Source organism: Homo sapiens, chromosome 13, assembly GCF_000001405.40.
Source record: "Homo sapiens chromosome 13, GRCh38.p14 Primary Assembly".
Lineage (NCBI taxonomy): Eukaryota > Metazoa > Chordata > Mammalia > Primates > Hominidae > Homo > Homo sapiens.
In genome coordinates, this window is record NC_000013.11 from 27,043,848 (window position 1) to 27,064,074 (window position 20,227).

Consider the following 20,227-nt stretch of genomic DNA (forward strand, 5'->3'; position numbering starts at 1 on the left):
CATGCACCACCACACCCGGGTAATTTTTGTATTTTTAGTAGAGATGGGGTTTCGCCATGTTGCAGAGGCTGGGCTGGAACTGCTGACCTCAGGTGATCCGCCCACCTTGGCCTCCCAAAGTGCTGGGATTACAGGTGTGAGCCACCACGCCTGGCCTGGTTTTCATTCTTGAGTAAGAATGACTGTAATGTCATTCTCAATTTCTCTGTGGTCCTTTCAATCCTGCACAAATTAATACCTCCAGGTATTTTTACAAACAGGCTTCTGAACCCAGAGTGAGTCCTCACTTTTAATTCTTGTTTTCCTGACTTAGTAACTTTATCCAGCCCAGGTGTCACCATCATGGGTTCTTCTGTTCATTTGTCCATCAGACCCCCATGGAAAACATTGGCCCACCTGTGGATCTCAACAACGCTCCCTCCTGTCTCTCAAGGACACCCTCTTCTAAGGTCTTCACTGCTGGGGTCCTGACCTTCACACACACATTTGCCACAGGGCATTGTCATTGTCATCATCATCCTCCCTCCGTCCCTCCCAGATGCACGGGCTCCAGAAGCCCGGCAACTCCTCCCTGCTGCACCCTGGTCAGACAGGCAAGGGCGGGATCAGGTCGCAGGTGCTAAAGGCAAAGCCAAATGTTCATGATCCTGCAGACATTTTAGTTACAGCCTTCAAGGCCACAATGCCCCCTGGAACGAAACAGGTGACGGTCAAGGCCAAGTCCCTTCCTCTTGGGCATGCACATGAAAACTTGTGACACCTGCCTTTCATCCAAGCCCAGCTAAGGCTCACAGCACCCCGCTTTCTGGCACACTAGCAAGTTGTTTTGTAAGATGCAGATTTGGGCGGGGCCTATTGTTTGGACTCACAGTATGGGATCCATTTCTAAATGGCCTGATGATAGCAGAACCACAAAACCAAGAGTGAAGGGATCACTGGAAAGCGTCAATCACTCTAAGGGGGAAAAGGTTTTCCAGGCCTGAGAGTTGTGGCTGACTTGAATGAAGCTCCTGACATGACATAACGTGACCGTGGTGGGCAGAAAGGGGGACGGACAGGGAGACCCGGAGCACATGGAAAGGGTTGCCCTAGCAGCAAAACCCGGATCTGCCCATGTGGACTCCGTTCATGGGTGAGAAAGGACCCCCATGGGAGCAAAGGAGCACCCAGCCTGCCTGAAGGCACACCCCCTTTATGGGCCGTCAAACCAGATGCCAGATAACATGCAAACCATACAACCACTTCCTCTGCTCTGTCATTGTGATCATCTTCCTTTGGAGTCTGCTTTAAGAGAGAATATGCTGTTCAGGCCAATGCAAATACTTAGTCTGTGGGACAGCTATATTTTTCATGATAAATTACCAAGATGACACTCACTCTCAGCATGAATTACCTCGAGGGCTCTGATGAGATGCTTTCTGGACTGGGCAGTGCAAAAGCCAGACCCCAGACCTTTGTAACCCCCACCCCCAGGGTAAATACCTCTGCGAGACTTCATGAAGGCTGGCCAGCTAGTCCCAGCTGAGGATCCGCGGCAGTGCTGCTCAGCCCTGGCTGTGCACAACATCCGTGCGTAAGAGGATGTGGACACCCAGCCTCACCCCAGCCCAGTTAAAATCAGAGTCTTTAAGAAGTGAGCCGGAACAACAGCTTTTCTTAAAAGCTTCCCAGAAGATTCTAGTGAGCAGCAAAAGTCGAGAACCATGGGCTTAGTGTACCTAACTGATGGAGCCCTCAGATGCTGGAACCTATGTGAACAGTCTTCGGTTTTGTATTAGGCTAATAAGCACTTGTAACATTATTAGTTACCATATACTGAGGGCCTAATATGTGCTAAGCACTGTTATATACTTTCACATTCAGTATGTGAAGACATAAAAACAACTCTGTACAGTGGCTATTGTTACCCCATTTCAAAATGTTTTATTTTAAGAAAACAGGCTCAGAAAGATTAAGTAACTTGAAACAAAATTTGCACAGCTGATTAAGCAGAGAAACTAGTATCTAAATCCAGCCTCCGATTCCAAAAGTCTAAGCTTTTCCATTATGTGTGTTGTCTTTTAGCCTTTAATAATTGCAGAAACTATGAGTGAGATGTTGGGATCAGTACTACATCTTCCTAAACTTTCATCCGTAGGAAATCCGGATTGGGAAGCCTGCTCCTCCAGAGGCTATCAGCGTGTGGACACCTGCCTGTGCTTAAGAGGTCCAATCATTTATTATCGTAATCTAATTTTGTAGAACATCAAACTAGAGAATAATTTCGGGCTAAATTGCATTTGTGTTTTAATCAAGAGGCCGACGTTATTGATTATGTAATAAGGCATTCTCTCTGTTTATTTTCATCCTTAAGAAAACAATAACTTCTTCATTAAACTCACTCTGACCCTATTTTGGAGACTTATTGCTGTGCCTGAATCCGACAAGACTCATGCATAGAAAAGCAGAATTAGATGCATAAAATACCAAGAGAGAGAGAGAACCTCTAATTGCAAAAGTAACTCCTGAGGTACAAAGAATCTACGGCATCACCCCGAAAGCACTTGCGGGGAGAAGCCTCCTCTCCTCACACCCCCAAGTGGATGACCCTGTGACTGAGTCATTAGAGGGCTGGCCAAGCGAGCTCCTGATTCCATCACTGCTGGAGACTGAAGAGCTTGGCTGAATTATCCAGACACGCTTCGTGTGGAACCCTGTGAAAGTCCTACATTGCTTATGAAGTTACCATCCTGTTATAAACTGAAGAAGGAGCCCTCAGCAGTCAATGATGAACAGTGTTGAGGGAAGGTGTCATCTGTCATATCAGTGCAGTGAGAGTCCTCATAAAAACACAGCTGGACATTTTCCTCAGCTTTACAAATCATCTTTCCATTTTGGTGCTCTTGGGGTTCTCCTCCACTGAACCTTGAAATGCTATTCCCTAGGAGCAATTGAGAAATCCAATGTTTAGCACTGTTTTTTAAGTGTCATAGGAGGTTCATAAAGATGTGTTGAGTTAAAGAGATGGGGGAAGGAAGTGCTATAACCTCAGCACCTCGGTAGGGACTTTTTATACCTTCAGTGCATTCATCTTACATAAATCTCACAATTCCCAAACAAGGAAATTGAGCTCCAGAGGGTACACAGCTAATAAGTGATGTGGCCAATTTTCAATTCAGCTCTAACCTCAGCCTCATATGATTTCTCTGTACCACTTAAGAGTATCCCAAGAGAGGACCTCTTGTCTCTCCATAATGACAGGCCCAACCTTCGACCACTCCTCTCCCCGTGTAAGGTCTTGGGTTTGGCCCCTCCAGAGTCAATTTGACATTCAGCAAATATCCGTTCTGTTTTAGGGCACTGTGCCACATATCTCTGGGGCTGCCAGAGATATGCCCCAGTGTGGCCCGCCCTCAAGGAGGCTGAGCTCCATAGAGCAGCCCGGCTAGCCAAGCGCCAAGCCCAGCAGATCATGGGCGAGGGAAGAAAGCAACAGCTGCATCTCTGACATGACAGAGAGGCCTCGAAGTATGCATAGAACCTAAATACATGGAAACGAGGGCAGGGAAATGGCACGCTCTAAGGCTCGGCAAGCAGAAGAGCTTGGGCAGTCTGTGCAGGCTCTACACTCCGAGCCTGCGTTCTCCTGGGTCCAGATCCTAGCTTCACCACTTTGTTAACAAGTAAGTTAACCCCTCCACACCTCTATGGCCTCATCCATGAAATAAGAACCAATTCGGTCTAACTGCAAGGTGCAGGCCCTTTCCTCTATACCACTTACGAAAGCCTGGAGTTAAGGTGTACCCACAAGAGAGCGCACTGTTGTTGTGAGGGTAAGACGAGATCATTCACGTTCAGTGACAAGCCTGATTCCTGGCACTCAGAAAGCTCTCCATCAATATGCTATTATTTTGACTATTTGGGGGTACATCAAGCAGTCCAATTTGACCGGAGGATAGAACATGTGTAGAAGTAACTGCCCATCTCCAGCACGTAGCATGTCACTTGGTACATGTTGGGCGCTCGCTGTAACACAGTCACTTAACCTCTGGAGGAAGGGTTAAGTGAGACGATGCACTCGAAAGCATCTGGTATGATGCCTGGCACGTGGCGGGTGGTCAGTAAATGCTCTGTGAATCTGAGTTCCTCTAGGGTCAACCCCAAGCCTTCTAGTCTTTTGGAAGCAAGACAGTACAAGTTTAGTGTTTCCCAAACTGGAATCTAACAAACATGTATATTCCCTGGGATGCTACTAGTGTTCCATAGCAATAACAACAAAAATCAGTGCCTAAATATACTCCCTTCCAAAACATAATACCAGTAATCCAAGAAAACACTCAACATGCCTACATAGTCATCCTTATTACTTTTCAATAAAGTGAGTTAAGACATGAAAAATCATAGCAGATAAAATAGTATGGTCCCAAGAACAGAATCAGACAGACCGATAAAACTGAAGAGAGGGCTGGGTGCGGTGGCTCACGCCTGTAATCCCAGCACTTTGGGAGGCCGAGGCGGGCAGATCACCTGAGGTTGGGAGTTCAAGACCAGCCTGACCAACATGGAGAAACCCCATCTCTACTAAAAAAAAATACAAAATTAGCCGGGCATGGTGGCACGTGCCTGTAATCTCAGCTACTCAGGAGGCTGAGGCAGGAGAATCACTTGAACCCAGGAGGCAAAGGTTGCGGTGAGCTGAGATCACACCATTGCACTCCAGCCTGAGCAACAAGAGCAAAACTCCATCTAAAAAAAAAATAAAAACAAACAAAACAAACAAACTGAAGAGAGGGCCCCGTCGTTACAAATCATATGGGATTTCAGTACATGACAGAGATAGCATTTCACACCAGTGGGGGAGAGGTTTTATTTGATGAATGACATTGGAACAACTGGCTAGCTGTTTGATTTCCTCTTTCACTCCTTTCATCAAATTTTCTGTGAGGTGCACACAAAACAGATGTAATAATTTTTAAGTCACTTAAAAAACAAACCCAATGACTATTCAATTTTGCATTCAACAAAAAACTCGCGATGTTGAAGTCATAGAAGTAAAGCGACTCGTGTTTGGGATTCCCACTGAAGCAGCCCCCGCCTCATTCTCCACCTCCAACTCATTCCCACTTCAGGACTTCTCCACCTCCAACTCATTCCCACTTCAGGACTTCTCCACCTCCAACTCATTCCCACTTCAGGACTTCTCCACCTCCAACTCATTCCCACTTCAGGACTTCTCCACCTCCAACTCATTCCCACTTCAGGGCTTGTGCACTTGCACCCCTGTGCCCAGGACAATCCCCGCCTAGCTCCTGCACGCTCACGCTTTCTCATTCTGCAAGTCCCACCCAAGGGTTGCCTCTTCAGAGAGGCCTTCCCTGGTCACCCAGTCTATAGCAGGCCTCCCCAGCATGGCCATCCTAGCACGTGGCCTTGTTCATTCCCTTCATACCTACCACGCCACCTAGTAAATTCATCATTTGCCCCAGTAGGTCAGTTCCATGAGGGCAGGTGTCTCATTCCCTTCCTTATTGCCTGCAATAATGCTGAGCACAAATTAGGTGCCCAATAAATATTTATTCAATGAATCAATGAATTAATGGCCTTCTTATTTTAAATATCTGCCCTGAACGTGACACTCTTTTTCAAGGAAGCTGACATTTTTTTTCTTTTAACCACAATAGAAGGCTCACGGATAATTCTGTTTTATTTTCAAATATCTACCCACCTGTGCTTGGTTTCTATCTTTTTTTTTTTTTTTTTTTTTGAGACGAAGTCTAGCTCTGTCGCCCAGGCTGGAGTGCAGTGGTGCGATCTTGGCTCACTGCAACCTCCGCCTCCCAGGTTCAAACAATTCTCCTGCTTCAGCCTCCCAAGTAGCTGGGATTACAGGCACCCGCCACTACGCCTGGCTAATTTTTGTATTTTTCATAGACATGGGGTTTCACTGTGTTGTCCAGGCTGGTCTCAAACTCCTGACCTCGCGATTTGCCCACCTCAGCCTCCCAAAGTGCTGAGATTACAAGCGTGAGCCACCACACCCGGCCATTTATATCTTAAGTTAAAAAAATTTTGCTGGAGCACTACATTCATGTCTCTTTGGAAATGCACTGATTTGTAACTTCAGCAACTAATATGTTGGCTGATTCTATTTAATACTTCGACACCAAAAGATGACAGAGATTGCTTCCAAACCGCACTTTCTTTACTGACTCTCATGTATCCCTAACCTGCCAGTCCCACATTCAGGAGTTCATGGTGAAAGCCACAGGCAAGGGAGCCTCCCAACCAGTGTTCTGTCTAGAAAAGTTGCAGTGCTCATGTGTGCATGCGTGCACGTGTGTGTGTGTATTGCTTACTATATGCAAGGTAATGCACCCTCTCCCTGCTTCTATTTTCTGTGCCCATTGCAGCATCAGACCCAGGGACACTTACCTGCAGGTAGAATAATGGCATATGACCGTGAAACATCCTTACACAATGTGACCAAGGCCAGCATCTAAACCTGCTCCCAACACCTTTGACTGGTGGCACCTCCACAGCCTGGAATCCCTTCCCCGGTCTTTACTTCTTTCCTCAGTGCATTCTGTCCTGGCCCTTTTTATAACAGATATGCCCGAAAAGCTTTTACTAAATAAATATCCTCACGTGCTCTTTAGATCACAGGTCTCCTCCACGAGGTCCACTAGAGAAGAAATGTGGCACTGAGTGTGGCAGCAGCAATCTTTCTTCCAGGCCACCTGTTCTTGCAGTGACCCTGACATCCCTTCCACCATGTCATGGCATACTTGTCCTTGGGTCTGGGCAGACCTTTGGGGCTGCCTTGACCAACCTACTGTGACAGATGTACTGCTATGTGACTTTGGAGGGGAGATCATAAAAGTGCCTTGCGCTTCTGCCTTGCTCATGCAGGATTCCAGCCGCCATACTGTGAGGAAGCCCAAGTTATCCCATGTGGACAGATCACATGGAGAGGTATGTGTGAGACCACAGGCATAGGTAGTCTAGCCAACAGCTCAGACGAGATCCCAGCTGACAACCCACATCAACCTTCAGATGACCTGGACCCTAGCTATCGGGCTGTTCCCAGCCTTCGAGTCTTCTTACTTGGGGCCATGGATATTGAGGAGCGGAGACAAGCTGTTCCTGCTGTGTCCTGAACCAGAAAATTTATGAACATAGTAAAATGGTTATCATACACCATTAAATTTTAGTTTTTTAGGCAGCAATATTATGTGGAAAAATGATTTCAGTTCACAATCCCAGTTCCTAATTTCAAGATGCAGTCTAGATGTCCTATGAAACATCATGCTTTTATTTTTTTCTTTTAAATATTTATTTTTATTTTTCCATAAGTTATTGGGGTACAGGTGGTATTTGGTTATATAAGTTCTTCAGTGGTGATTTGTGAGATTTTGGTGTACCCATCACCCAAGCAGTATACACTGCATCATATTTGTAGTCTTTTATCCCTTGGCCTCTCCCACTCTTCCCCACAAGTCCCCAAAGTCCATTGTATCATTCTTATGCCTTTGTGCCCTCATAGCTTAGCTCCCACATATCGGTGAGAACATAGGACATTTGGTTTTCCATTCCTGAGTTACTTCACTTAGAATAATAGTCTCCAATCTCATCCAGGTCACTGCAAATGCTGTTAATTCATTCCTTTTTATGGCTGAGTAGTATTCCATCATATATATGGATATATATGGATGAGATTGGAGACTATTATTCCAAGTGAAGTAACTCAGGAATGGAAAACCAAATGTCCTATATTCTCACTGATACATGGGAGCTAAGCTATGAGGACACAAAGGCATAAGAATGATACAATGGGCTTTGAGGACTTGTGGGGAAGAGTGAGAGGGAGCAAGGGATAAAAGACTACAAATATGGTGCAGTGTATACTGCTTGGGTGATGGGTACACCAAAATATATATATATATGATGGATATATATATATATATGATGGATATATATATATATATGATGGATATATATATATATATATGATGGATATATATATATGATGGATATATATATGATGGATATATATATGATGGATATATATATGATGGATATATATATATGATGGATATATATATATGATGGATATATATATGTGTGTGTGTGTATATGACGGATATATATGTGTATATATATGATGGATTATATATATGTATATACATGTTGGAGATATATATATGGAGATATATATATATATACACATACACACATATATATGGATATATATATACACACATATATATATATATGGATATATGGAATAAACCATAGCCATGGGCTATTATACATTTTCCCCTCCAAAATTAAGGTATCAAGTTAATCCCCAATGTGGCAGTATCGAGAGGTGGGGCCTTTTAAGAGGTGATCAGATCATGAGAGCTCTGCCCTCACGAAAGGGTTAATCCATTCATGGGTTAATGGGTTATCACAGGAGTGGGACTGGTGGCTTAGTAAGAAGAGGAAGAGCGACCTGAGCTAGCATGTGAGCACCCACAGCCCCCCACCAAGTAAGTGCCCCTCACCAGGTGGTGCCCTTTGCTGCCTCAGGACCTGAGTCCCTGCCAGCAAGAAGGCTCTCACCAGAGGTACCCCCTTGACCTTGGACTTCCCAGCCTCCAGCCCCGTAAGAAACAAATTTCATTTCTTACAAATTACCCCTTTCAGATATTCTATTCTAAGGAATAGAAAATGGACTCATATGTCCACCAAATAAATAACCAATGTATGGAAAATTATACATCCATTAAGATGGATTCTAATGACATGGGGATGTAGTCATGCATTTACTTAATGTATTTTCCCCGAGCAACCCTCCATGTATGAGGAAAAAAAGCACAGTGGCTTTGGGAGTCAGAGGGCTTCCTGGGGCTGATTAGGAGGGAGCGGCTCACTGCTACATGGCTGGAACACACAGGACAGATGGAGGGAATGCAAATAAGAAGGCTTGCATTTCCTCCACACAAAAGTGATTTTTAAAAGGCAGCAAATTTAGAAAATCTGAAAAAGAAAAAAAAAATGATTAGGAGGAAACCTCATCACCTCCCCAACCAGCAAGAATCCCCAGAGATAATGTGTGTGGAAGAAGGAGGTGCTGGCAGTGGGGCCAGACTTCCCACCCGAGTGGGATGGGTTTGAGCCCTTTCTATGCATATGTCACAGGCCTGGTGCTTTCATCAGGACGGAGGGCTGGGGACACCCGGACACACACACTCGAGGGAAATTTACCAGCATGTCAGCACTGGCTGTCTGAGTTAATTACAGTTGCATTTTTTTTCTTTATATCTTGTGTGTTCTAAATTATCTCTAATGAGATGTTTCTACCACACCAGGGAGAAAAAAGCAATGACAGGGACTGTAAAATAAAATTTAAATACCAGACCCTACAAACATGGAATGTGCAAAGGGCTGCAACTCCCTGCCTTCCCTCCCTTCACTTGCTCCCTGCTCCCCTTCCCAGGCAGCTCCTGGAAGGAGTGGTCAGCCCAGCCCTCCATTTCCTCTTGCCCACGCAGTCACATCTCTGCAATCTAGCTTGCGCTTCGCACCCCCACCCCCAGATCAACTGTGACCTCATTGTCAAATCCAAGGGACATGTTTTTATCCTTATCCTGCGTGGCTGTCCATCATCTGACCCTGTGGGCTACTCTCTTCCGGGTCTCTCCCTGCTGCCTTTTCTGTCTGCCTTGTGGGTTTCCTACTTGCACCTCCTCCGTGTTCCCCAGGACACCATCAGGGCCCCCTGTACACCTTAATCTACACACACTTCCTCTTCTAAATTAATGGTTTCAAATAGCAATGCCACACTAATGACTCCCAAGCCCATGGTTAGCGCTGCCCTCCCTGAACTCTTGCTCCACGTGTCTAACCACCTGCTGGGCATCTCCAGCAGGAGATAAGCTGAAGCTTGAGACATAAGCTGAAACCTGAAGGATGGCTGGGTTTTGAAACTAAGAAGTTGGGGTGGGGTGGGAGTGCTCCAGGCAGGAGAAATGACACGTGCACATGTTCAGTGGGGAGAAGGCTCACGCACATTGCCTTCCAGGGACTCAATCCAGCAGGAGCTCACTAAGTTCAAGATCAAACATTACCATTCCCCAATAGGAATTCATCCTCCCCTGTTCTCTAGGTGTAGGTGCTATTAACTAGTCACCCAAGCCAGAAATGAGAAGTCCAGTTACCCACTCGTTCATGTATTCATTTGCTATTCCTTAGGCACATGCAGACAAGATGCACACATTGCTCACAGCCCTGCCCTCACAATGCGGAATCCACTGAGGTAGGGAGGCTGTCTGCTGGTGGTGGTGTGAGGTCATGAGCTGGCAGCCGGGTCAACAGGCAGTCACATCTCAGTGTGGAGGTGCTGGGACGGAGGAAGTGCTGGGGCTGTGGAAACACTCAGGAGGGAATCAGGAAAGACTTCCTGAGGTGGCGACATAAGCTGAAACCTGAAGGATGGCTGGGTTTTCAAAGTAAGAAGTTGGGGTGGGGTGGGAGCTTTCCAGGCAGGAGAAATGACACATGCACATGGTTTAGCAGGGAGAGGGCTCATGCACAATGCATTCCAGGGACTGAGTCAGTATGGCAGATGCCCAGATTGTAGACAGGGTGAGGGTGTGTGTGCCTGAGAGAGACGAGACAGAGAGACCAAGAGACAGAGTGACAGAGGTGTTTAGGAGCTGAGCTCTCAGGGACCTGGTTAAAGAAAATGGATTTTGCTCAGAGGAACATGGAGTCACTGCAGTGTCTTAAGCCAGAGAGTTCTTTCAGCATCTATTCAATAAATGTGTACACTTTAAAAAGAGCCCTCAAATTTCACTGTGAGAATGTGTTTGTAAAGGCCAAGCCTGCAGGCAGAAAGGTTGAGCAGGAGGCCCAGGTGACTAGCCTCACCAGGGCAATGGACGAGAGGTAAGACAGGTTCAGGAGAGTTTGCAGAGCCAGTCCTACTAACAGAACTTGCTCAATGTCTGAATGTCTGTGCAGGAGGAAGATGAAGGACTGAAGGAAGGTTTCCAGCCAATGACAGGTGCACATGGGTGGATGATGGCACCGTGCAGGGTGAGGGAAGCTGCAGGAAGGTCAGTGTTGGGGCAGGAAGTAGGTAGAGCAAGTTGAGTCTGGGGTGTCTGTGTCATAACTGGGTAAAACTGCACAGGGGACACAGCTGGAGACACAGGCCTGGGACCTGGGAGATCTGGGCTAGAGATAAAGGTTTGGTAGGCACTGTTATCCGATGATAACTGAAGCCATGGGAGCAGACATGGTTGTTTCAGAAGAGTCTAAACAAAGCAAACTGCCTAGAACAGAGCCCTGCAGAACATCAACTTTTGTGGTTAAGAGCAGACTCCCTCCTGCTTACTTCCATGGCAAACTCTCCACCACGCCCTAGACTGCCCTCAGTACCTGGAGTCCCGAGCCCCCACCTCCAACCCCAGTGCCTTCACCTTGTCCAGGTTCCTGTCCCTTCTCAATGGGATTCCTACTACCTTCTCAGGGGTCTTTCTCTTCCAGTCAGGCTCTCCTCTCCAATCTACCTCCTCCGCTGCCACTGAAATGACCTTACCAAAATGTCATCGTGAGAAATCAGTCATTAACATTCCTCAAAAGTTCCCTATGTCCATTTTAGGAAAATCCAGACTCCTTACCTGGATAAAAAGGGCCCTTGGGGATTAGAATCCTCCTTTTCTCGCCAAATATTGCCAAGTGTACTGCAGCCACATGAAAGCTGTACTTCCCAGACGTGTGATGCTTGTGTGTGCCACCATGCCTTCTCATGGACTGTTTTCTTGAAACCCAGAATGCCGCCCGCCTCCACCCTATCTTTGATCTAAATAACCCTGACTTCTTGGAAGCTCAGTTCACGTGCTATTTCCCCTGAGGCCTTTTCTGCTCAGTAATATGATTTAGATGCCTTTTCCCGGTGTTCCTGCATCATCTTATTTATGCTCCCATTATGGCTCTCAACACTTTGTATCCCTGCAACTCATTACTGATTTGTGTTTCCTTCACCAAACTGCATATACAAAATCTCACTCAACTTGCTGTTCTTGGTAATTGAATGCAGTAGGCACTCAATAAATATGTGCTGAATGAACAGATAATTACTAACATTTACGGAGCACTTTCAACTAAATGCTCACTCATGGAATCCTCCTAACACTGAGCTAAGCAGGCATCCATAACGCTCTCTGTTTCATAGATAAGGACACTGAGGCGCGGGTGCCCAGGATAACACCCGGAGTGGGGCTGGGGCATGAAGGTGATCTGCCTCTAGAACCTGCACTCCTAACCACAGCAGGCTTCCTCTGGTAACTCCTTTCTCTGAACCCAAAGGACATTTTACATAGATTTTGTCTAGCCTTTAACAACAAAAACTCCTCTTCTACATCGGAAAGCGCCATGAGAATGGAAATTGCCTTAGGCATCTTTACATTCCTTGCAACAACTGATAACGATGCTCTTCACATAACGCATGTTCAATAAATATCTGGGTAATTACAGTTGGGTTTTAGCATATTTCTAGATGACACTATTTGGGGAATTATTGCCACAAACTGTGTGAGGTTAAGTTTCTCAGTTGAGTTTCACGTCTTTCAAGATGGTATTACTTTAGCCATTTTACAAATGGGAAATGTGGGCTTAGGAGGGCTATGCAACTTGTTCAAGGTCATGAGGCTGTGAAGAGCTGGCTCACTGCCTACTTAAAGTGTGTATGCTTAGCTCAACATACAAAGGAGAAGGCATGGCCCGGCACAGTGGCTCACACCTGTAATCCCAGCGCTTTGGGAGGCTGAGGCTGAAGGATCACTTGAGGCCAGGAGTTTGAGACCCATCTGGGCAACACAGCGAGACCGCATCTCTACAAAAAATTTGAAAATTAGCCAGGCATCATGGCATGTCTGTAGTTCCAGCTACTCAGGAGGCTGAGAGGCAGGACGATCACTTGAGCTTAGGAATTTGAGGTTGCAGTGAACCATGATCACACCACTGCACTGCAGCCTGGGCGACAGAGCAAGTCCCTGTCTCTAAGGAAAAAAAAAAAAAATTAAAAAATTAAATCAAATATAACAAAAGGAATGGCAGTAAACATGATCACCCAGATGCAGTAGCTCAATGCCTGTAGTCCCAGCACTTTGGAAGGCCAAGGCAGGCGAATCGCTTGAGCCCGGGAGTTCAAGACCAGCCTGGGTAACAAAGTGAGACCCCATCTCTACAAAAAATAAAATAATTAGCCAGGTATGGTGGCAGTTGCCTGTAGTCCTAGCTACTCAGGAGGCTAAGGTGGGAGAATTGCTTAAGCCCCGAAGGTCAAGGCTGCAGTAAGCCATGATTGCACCACTGCAGTCCAGCCTGGGTGACAGAGTGAGACTCTGCCTCAAAAACAGAACAGTAATAATAATAATAATAAACACCTTATGGTCAACAAGTGATCACCAGTCCAGATCTAGATTGGTGCTGGGAAGGATGCCAACAGACCTGTGTCAGAGAAAGTGACACTGCCACAGATAACTCTTGACGACAGAATTTCCTTAGAGAGCCTGGTAGCAAACCTAACCCCAAGGGGCTATCGCACCAGATGAGGCTGAAAGGCTGCACTCGAGTCATCTTACCTCCTGTTTGCCTGAAACATCTGCATCTATGACAGAGAGCAACATCCAGGTCAATTCCATTTGCTATTAGGCTGGCTTTAACCTATCTAGCAGTCAGTTCACTTCACAAAACTCTCCAAACATGTGCAAATTGCCAAGCAAATGAATTTTTTTTCTTGTCCTAAACCCTTTCAAGGGTTTTTAAGATGTGTCTTTCCATAAGTGAAAAGGAAATGTTTTATGCTAGATCAAATGATACAGATGCAACTAGTTTCTGGCAGAAATTTTCAATAGCCACTCACCAGCACTCTTCAACATGAGGCTGTTAGTTTGGTTTTACCAGTGTGTCCTCAATTATCAAATGCCTCAGAATCACTATAGACTTTATAACACAGTTTGTGAGCACACCAAAAACAGAGTCTAATTAAGAATCCTAATAGCCATTTCAACTCCACCTAATCTCAAATCCTAATAACTAAGTTTTGCACATGTGGGATGTGGGATAGGCTAATAGGTATACCCTGGGCATGTGAATTCCAATTATTCTCATTCCATTACAGCTCCCAGAACTGCTGAGCAAGGTCAATTTATTAAAAGCGAATGCTGGTAAACTGTGGTACATCCATACCATGAAACACTCATGCCCCCAAAGCTGGTTCTCTTCCTAGATTCTCAGCAAAAGCCTCCTCCATTGACCTAGCTGTGCAAGCCAGGGAAGCGCAGGCATCCTCCCCTAGGACTCCCTCCCATGGTTAAGGCTTGTCACCTTCTGAACTCTGCTCCACACCCAGCAGTATCTTCTACAAGGACTCATCTCCCAACCCCTGCACACTGTGGCACAGGATCCTAAACCTCATCTCGATTTGTAACTTCACACGCGGAAAGGTAAATTAATGGAATTTCAAATCAGTTCTAATCAATAGTTTAATAGGTAGTAAAATACAGAGTACAAATAATGTGTAGAAATCCAGATACTGCGATGCCCCTACTTTGTGTTCATGATAGGAATTTGTTTTTTGCAGAAAATTTAAAAATACATGTGTTCAACAAACCAATTTAATCAAAATGCAACAACTGATGATTTAGGGAATGATAAACATATGTAGTATTGGGAAAATAAGTCAGATGCTTATTTGCAGCTGTTTTCTGAGGTTTCCATTACATCTAATGGAATAATAATCTATTGTATCTAACGGAATAATAATCTATTCCATTGACATGAAATTTTATGTCTACTTTCCTCCTCATTCTATCATTTTTCCTTCTTAAATGTAAAACTTCAATAGGTTATAAATAACTAGCATCCAGTAAAAGTCCACCCACAAAAACATTCATTTTTGTAGCCTAAGAATATTGTTTGGAAAATGGTTTCTAACTGAAGGAAAAAGCTACCAGAAAAAAAAAAAAAAAAGTTCCAGCAACTAGTTTAAAAACAACACAATCATTGCATTTCTCATCTCAAAATGTGCAGACAGTATATTACTGTCTTGTTTCTGGGCCTGACAGTGGATACAGACTTTGTAATGACATGGCGAATACAGTGGTATCAAAATTCTATTTTATTCTCTGTAATCTTGCTTACGAATGACCCAGTGTGCACTTCAAAGATTGATGATTAAAGATAGCACAGTCATGCAAGGTGAATAGACCATCTCTCAGTTACTTTTTAATGTAAAGTCTTCTATCAAGCTAGTCACGATTCAGAGGCTCCTCAGTCTGAAGAACCTGAATCTTCAAAGGAAGGTGTTTTGAGAGATGGTGGGAAGTGTTTTATTAATGCAGCATAGACTTACCCAACACCAGTAATGTCACTTTGACACCACCCCGCCTGCTCACACTGAAGGTGATATAAACTTGACTGCCACTCTAAAATCTTCAGACTGGTGTTTTGTTCAACCCACCTCTGTTCTAGTCAGGAACTGGTGATGGGATAGTTGCCATCCTAATGACCAGTGGCAATGTAAACTCTCCCTATAGTGTGTTACAGCACTCTAGGTCCAGCTATTTTAAAGGACAAAGGACAGCATAATGCAGAACTAAATATGAGCCCTGGAATAGAAAATATGGGCCCAGGTCCAAAACGCCAGCGTTTTGGGAGGCCCAGGCAGGTGGATCACGTGGTCAGGAGTTCGAGACCAGCCTGGCCAACATGGTGAAACCCTGTCTCTACTAAAAATACAAAAATGAGCCAGGCGCCTGTAATCCCAGCTACTCGGGAGGCTGAGACAGAATTGCTTGAATCCGGGAGGCAGAGGTTGCAGTGAGCCAAGATCATGCCACTGTAGTCCAATCTAGGTGACACAGAGCAAGACTCCATCTCGAAAAAAAAAAAAAAAAAAAAAAAATATATATATATATATGCTCAGGCACTAGCTTGGCCATTTACCAGTGACCTTGGGTAAGTTCCCCAGTCTTAGCTGCCTCACCTGGGAAGAAGCTTAAGGTTATCCTGCGCAACCTTCTAGCCCAGGGGTGTCCAATATTTTGGCGTCCCTGAGCCACACTGGAAGGACTGTCTTGGGCCACACATAAAATACACTAACAATAGCTGATGAGCTAAAAATTTTTTTAAAAGGTTCATGTATAAATCTCATAATGTTTTCAGAAAGTTGATGAATTTGTGTTGGGCCACATGCGGCCTACAGTCCATGGGCCGCGGGTTGCACAAGCTTGTTCCAGCCAGTGTTAAGAACCCCACCTATGAACAGTCTAATGACGTACGTTTGACACTTTATTTCTTAGTATGTCAGCTCCTCTCCCTGCTGAACAACCAGGAAGCTCTTACTTGTACTCAGTATGTGGCTCTCTGTCCTTTTCAATGCAGTCCCAATTCAACCCTAGAAGCAAAACATCCCCTAGACAGCAGCTCTTCAAACGATGTATGAGAAGACAGGTGCTACACCCCGTGTAAGTTTTCCCTGAGCAATCCTGAAATGATTTGGTTTTCTGACAACTCTCCCCATGTCAGATCAACTCTGGCTTGGCAGAGACCTTACAGGAACACGCTAGAGAACTCCAGACGAATTGCATCCCACGGAATTCTAATCACCAAAACCCAGCTGATCAGAATCACCGGGGAACTTCTGAAAACTAGTTTTCTCATCTGCAGTGGATCAAAATCTTCAGGGATCAATCTCAGGAATCAAAACATTCTACTAATCATCCAGATTTGATCAAATCAATATAGCGGCACTACTTAAGACAGTTTGGCTAATGGAAAGCAAGCAGGAGGTATGAGCTTTCCTCAGTTATGTTTTATACCACAGTTTAATTATATGACAAATTGTTGAGAACAGGTTTTTTTCTTTTTTGAAATATGGTCTCACTCTGTCATCCAAGCTGGGTTGCAGTGGTGTGATAATAGCTCACTACAGTCTCAACCTCCTGGGCTCAAGCCTCCAAGTAGCTGAGACTACTGGTGCACACCACCACACCTGGCTAATTTTTTGTATTTTCTAGAGACAAGGTCTCCCTGTGTTGCCCAGGCTGGTCTCGAACTCCTGGGCTTAAGCAATCCTCTTGCCTTGGCCTCCCAAAGTGCTGGGAATACAGGCATGGGCCACCACGCCTGGCCAGAACAGATGATTTTTAAAGGATCCAGTTATTTAGATGCATTATAACAGATGTATATGATACAAAATAGAGTAAAATCTTTTTCTCAGGAGTTGGGGCTCTACAGTGGCTGCCTGAGTGAGAATTCCTCAAGAGTAATTTAGGGCCTTTCCTTAGGGAAAGGAAAGGGGAAAATTTAGTTTGATGGAGTCTTAGAAATTCTATTACCCAATAGTATCATAAGTTAATATTCTTAAATTGCAATTATACTTAGTATTTCCAGTCCCTTTGACTGCTGTTGATTTCCAGATTCCCATTTTGGGCTGGACAATCTGACTGCATCCCTGTGATTTCACCAATACTTTCCTACTCTGCATTCCTCCACCTACCCTGTAGAGTTGTATAAATATGTCCATTTATACAGCTGATTTTTCTAGGTTTCCTTTGATTCATTCTCATATGACAAATTCCTCAAGAGCAAAAACTAGGCCTTCATCTTTCTTAATAATGACTTACAGTAAGGATGGAAGTACTGGTTATTGCTAAAAAATCTTTTGATAGTCTCAAACTCTTTCAAAAAGTTGAAGAGGGTGGAACATTTCCTAACTCATTCTATGACAGCAGCATTACCCACACCAAAGCCTGACAAAGACACTACAAGAAATAAAAATTACAGACCAAAGTCTCTGATCAATATTGATGGAAAAATTGTCAACAAAATACTAGCAAGCTGAATTCAGCAGCGTACTAAAAGTATTATGCACAATAACCGAGTGGATTTATCCCTGGAGTACAAGGATAGTTTCACATATGAAAAACACTATAATATATCACACTGATAAGATAAAAAAAACATGTGATCTACTGGGCGCAGTGGCTCACGCCTGTAATCCCAGCACTTTGGGAGGCCGAGGTGGGTGGATCACGAGGTCAGGATATCGAGACCATCTTGGCTAACATGGTGAAACCCCGTCTCTATTGAAAATACAAAAAATTAGCCAGGCGTGGTGGCGGGTGCCTGTAGTCCCAGCTACTCGGGAGGCTGAGGCAGGAGAATGGTGTGAACCCGGGAGGTGGAGCTTGCAGTGAGCCAAGATCACGCCACTGCACTCCAGCCTGGGTGACAGAGCAGGACTCCGTCTCAAAAAAAAAAAAAAAAAAAAAGGGATCATCTCAATTGATACAGAAAATTTGACAAAATTCAATACCCTTGATTTAAAAAAAAGCCACACCCAAATTGAAATAGCAACATGATAAAGGCCATATATTAAATACCCACAGATAGTATCGTACTATGATAAAATACTAAAAGCTTCTCCTCTAAAACAAGAACAAGACAAGAATGCCTACTTCCACCACTTCTATTCAATGTAGTATTGAAAGTTCTAGCTAGAGCAATTAGGCAAAACAAGTAAATAAAGGTCATCCAAATTTGAAAACAGGCCGGGCGCAATGGCTCACGTCTGTAATCCCAGCACTTTGGGAGGCTGAGGAGGGTGGATCACCTGAGGTCAGGAGTTCGAGACCAGCGTGGGCAACATGGTCAAACCCCATCTCTACTAAAAATACAAAAATCAGACGGGCATGGGGGCGGGCATCTGTAGGCCCAGCTACTAGGGAGGCTGAGGCAGGAGAATCGCTTGAACCTGGGAGGTGGAGGTTGCAGTGAGCTGAGATCATGCCACTGCACTCCAGCCTGGGCAACAGAGTGAGACTCCGTCTCAAAAAAAAAAAAAAAAGTTTGAAAACAAAGAATTATCTGTTAGCAAATGGCATGATCTTATATGTAGAAAACCTTAAAGATTCCACACCAAAAAAAAACTAATAAAGCTAATAATTCAGCAAAGTTGCAGGACACAAAACCAACAAGCATCAGTTGCATTTCTATACACAATGAACAATCCTAAGAGGAAATTAAGAAAATAATCCCATTTATAATAGATCAATAATAAAATACTTAAAAAGACCTGTATGATAAAAACAACAAAAGGTTGGTCAAAGAACTTAAAAACCTAAATAAATGGAAAGACATCAGTGTTCATAGATTAGACTTAAAATTGTTAAGTCAATTTAATCTTTGAAAATCCCATCGACAATTTTTGCATAAACAGAAAAACCTAAGGTTCACATGAAACTCTGAGGGGCCTTAAGTAGCCAAAACGATCTTGAAAAAGAACAAAGTTGGAAGACTCATACTTCCTTACTTCAAAACTTACTACAAAGCTACATTAATCAAAACAGTGTGGTACTGGCTAAGCTCAGATATACAGACAAATGGGACAAAAGAGAGTCCTAAAATAAACCCTAGCATACATGGCCAACTGATTTTGGCACCTCGTTCAGTGGGAAAAGGACAGTCTTTTCAGTAAGTGGTGCTGGGAACACTGGGTAGCTACATGCAAAAGAATGAAGTTGACCCTTACATCACATACTAAAATTAACTCAAAATGGATCAAAGACCTAAATGTAAGAGCTAAAATAATACTCTTAGAAGAAAACACAGGGCAAAAGTTTCATGACATTGGATTTGGTGATGCTTTCTTAGATATACCAAAAGTAAAGACAACAAAAGAAAAATTAGGCCAGGTGAGGAGGCTCACACCTGTAATCCCAGCACTTTGGGAGGCCGAAGTGGGAGGATTGCTTGAGCCCAGGAGGTGAGAGCAGCCTGGGTAACATAGTGACAGCCCCACCTCTACAAAATATTTAAAAATTAGCTAGGTGTGGTGGCCTATAATCCCAGGTACTTGAGAGGTTGAGGCAGGAGGAGCACTTGAGTCCAGAAATTTGAGATTGTAGTGAGCCACTGTGATTGTGCTACTGCAGCCTGGGTGGGAGTGGGACCCTGGGGGGAAGGGAGGAAGGGAGGGAGGAAGGGAGGGAGAGGAGGAAGGGAAGGAAGAGGAGGAAGGGAAGAAAGGAAAGGAAGGGAAGGAGAAAGAAAAAAGGAGGAAGGGAAGAAAGGAAAGGAAGGGAAGGAGAAAGAAAAAAGACAGACTGGACTGCACCAAAATTTAAAATTTAAAACTGTGTATCAAAGGATACTACCTATAAGACAGTGAAAAAACAAACCACAGAAAGGG

The 20,227-nt window shown here is 44.4% G+C and overlaps 1 long non-coding RNA gene across 1 annotated transcript; it reads right to left on the bottom strand.

Moving 5' to 3' along the window:
• Positions 1 to 1,898: 1,898 nt before the first annotated feature.
• LOC105370124 (uncharacterized) lies at positions 1,899 to 18,302 on the bottom strand. Its single transcript, XR_941767.3, has 2 exons — positions 11,649 to 18,302; positions 1,899 to 2,920 (listed from the first exon to the last, which is right to left on the bottom strand). It is a non-coding gene; the product is annotated as an uncharacterized LOC105370124 (long non-coding RNA).
• Positions 18,303 to 20,227: the final 1,925 nt, after the last annotated feature.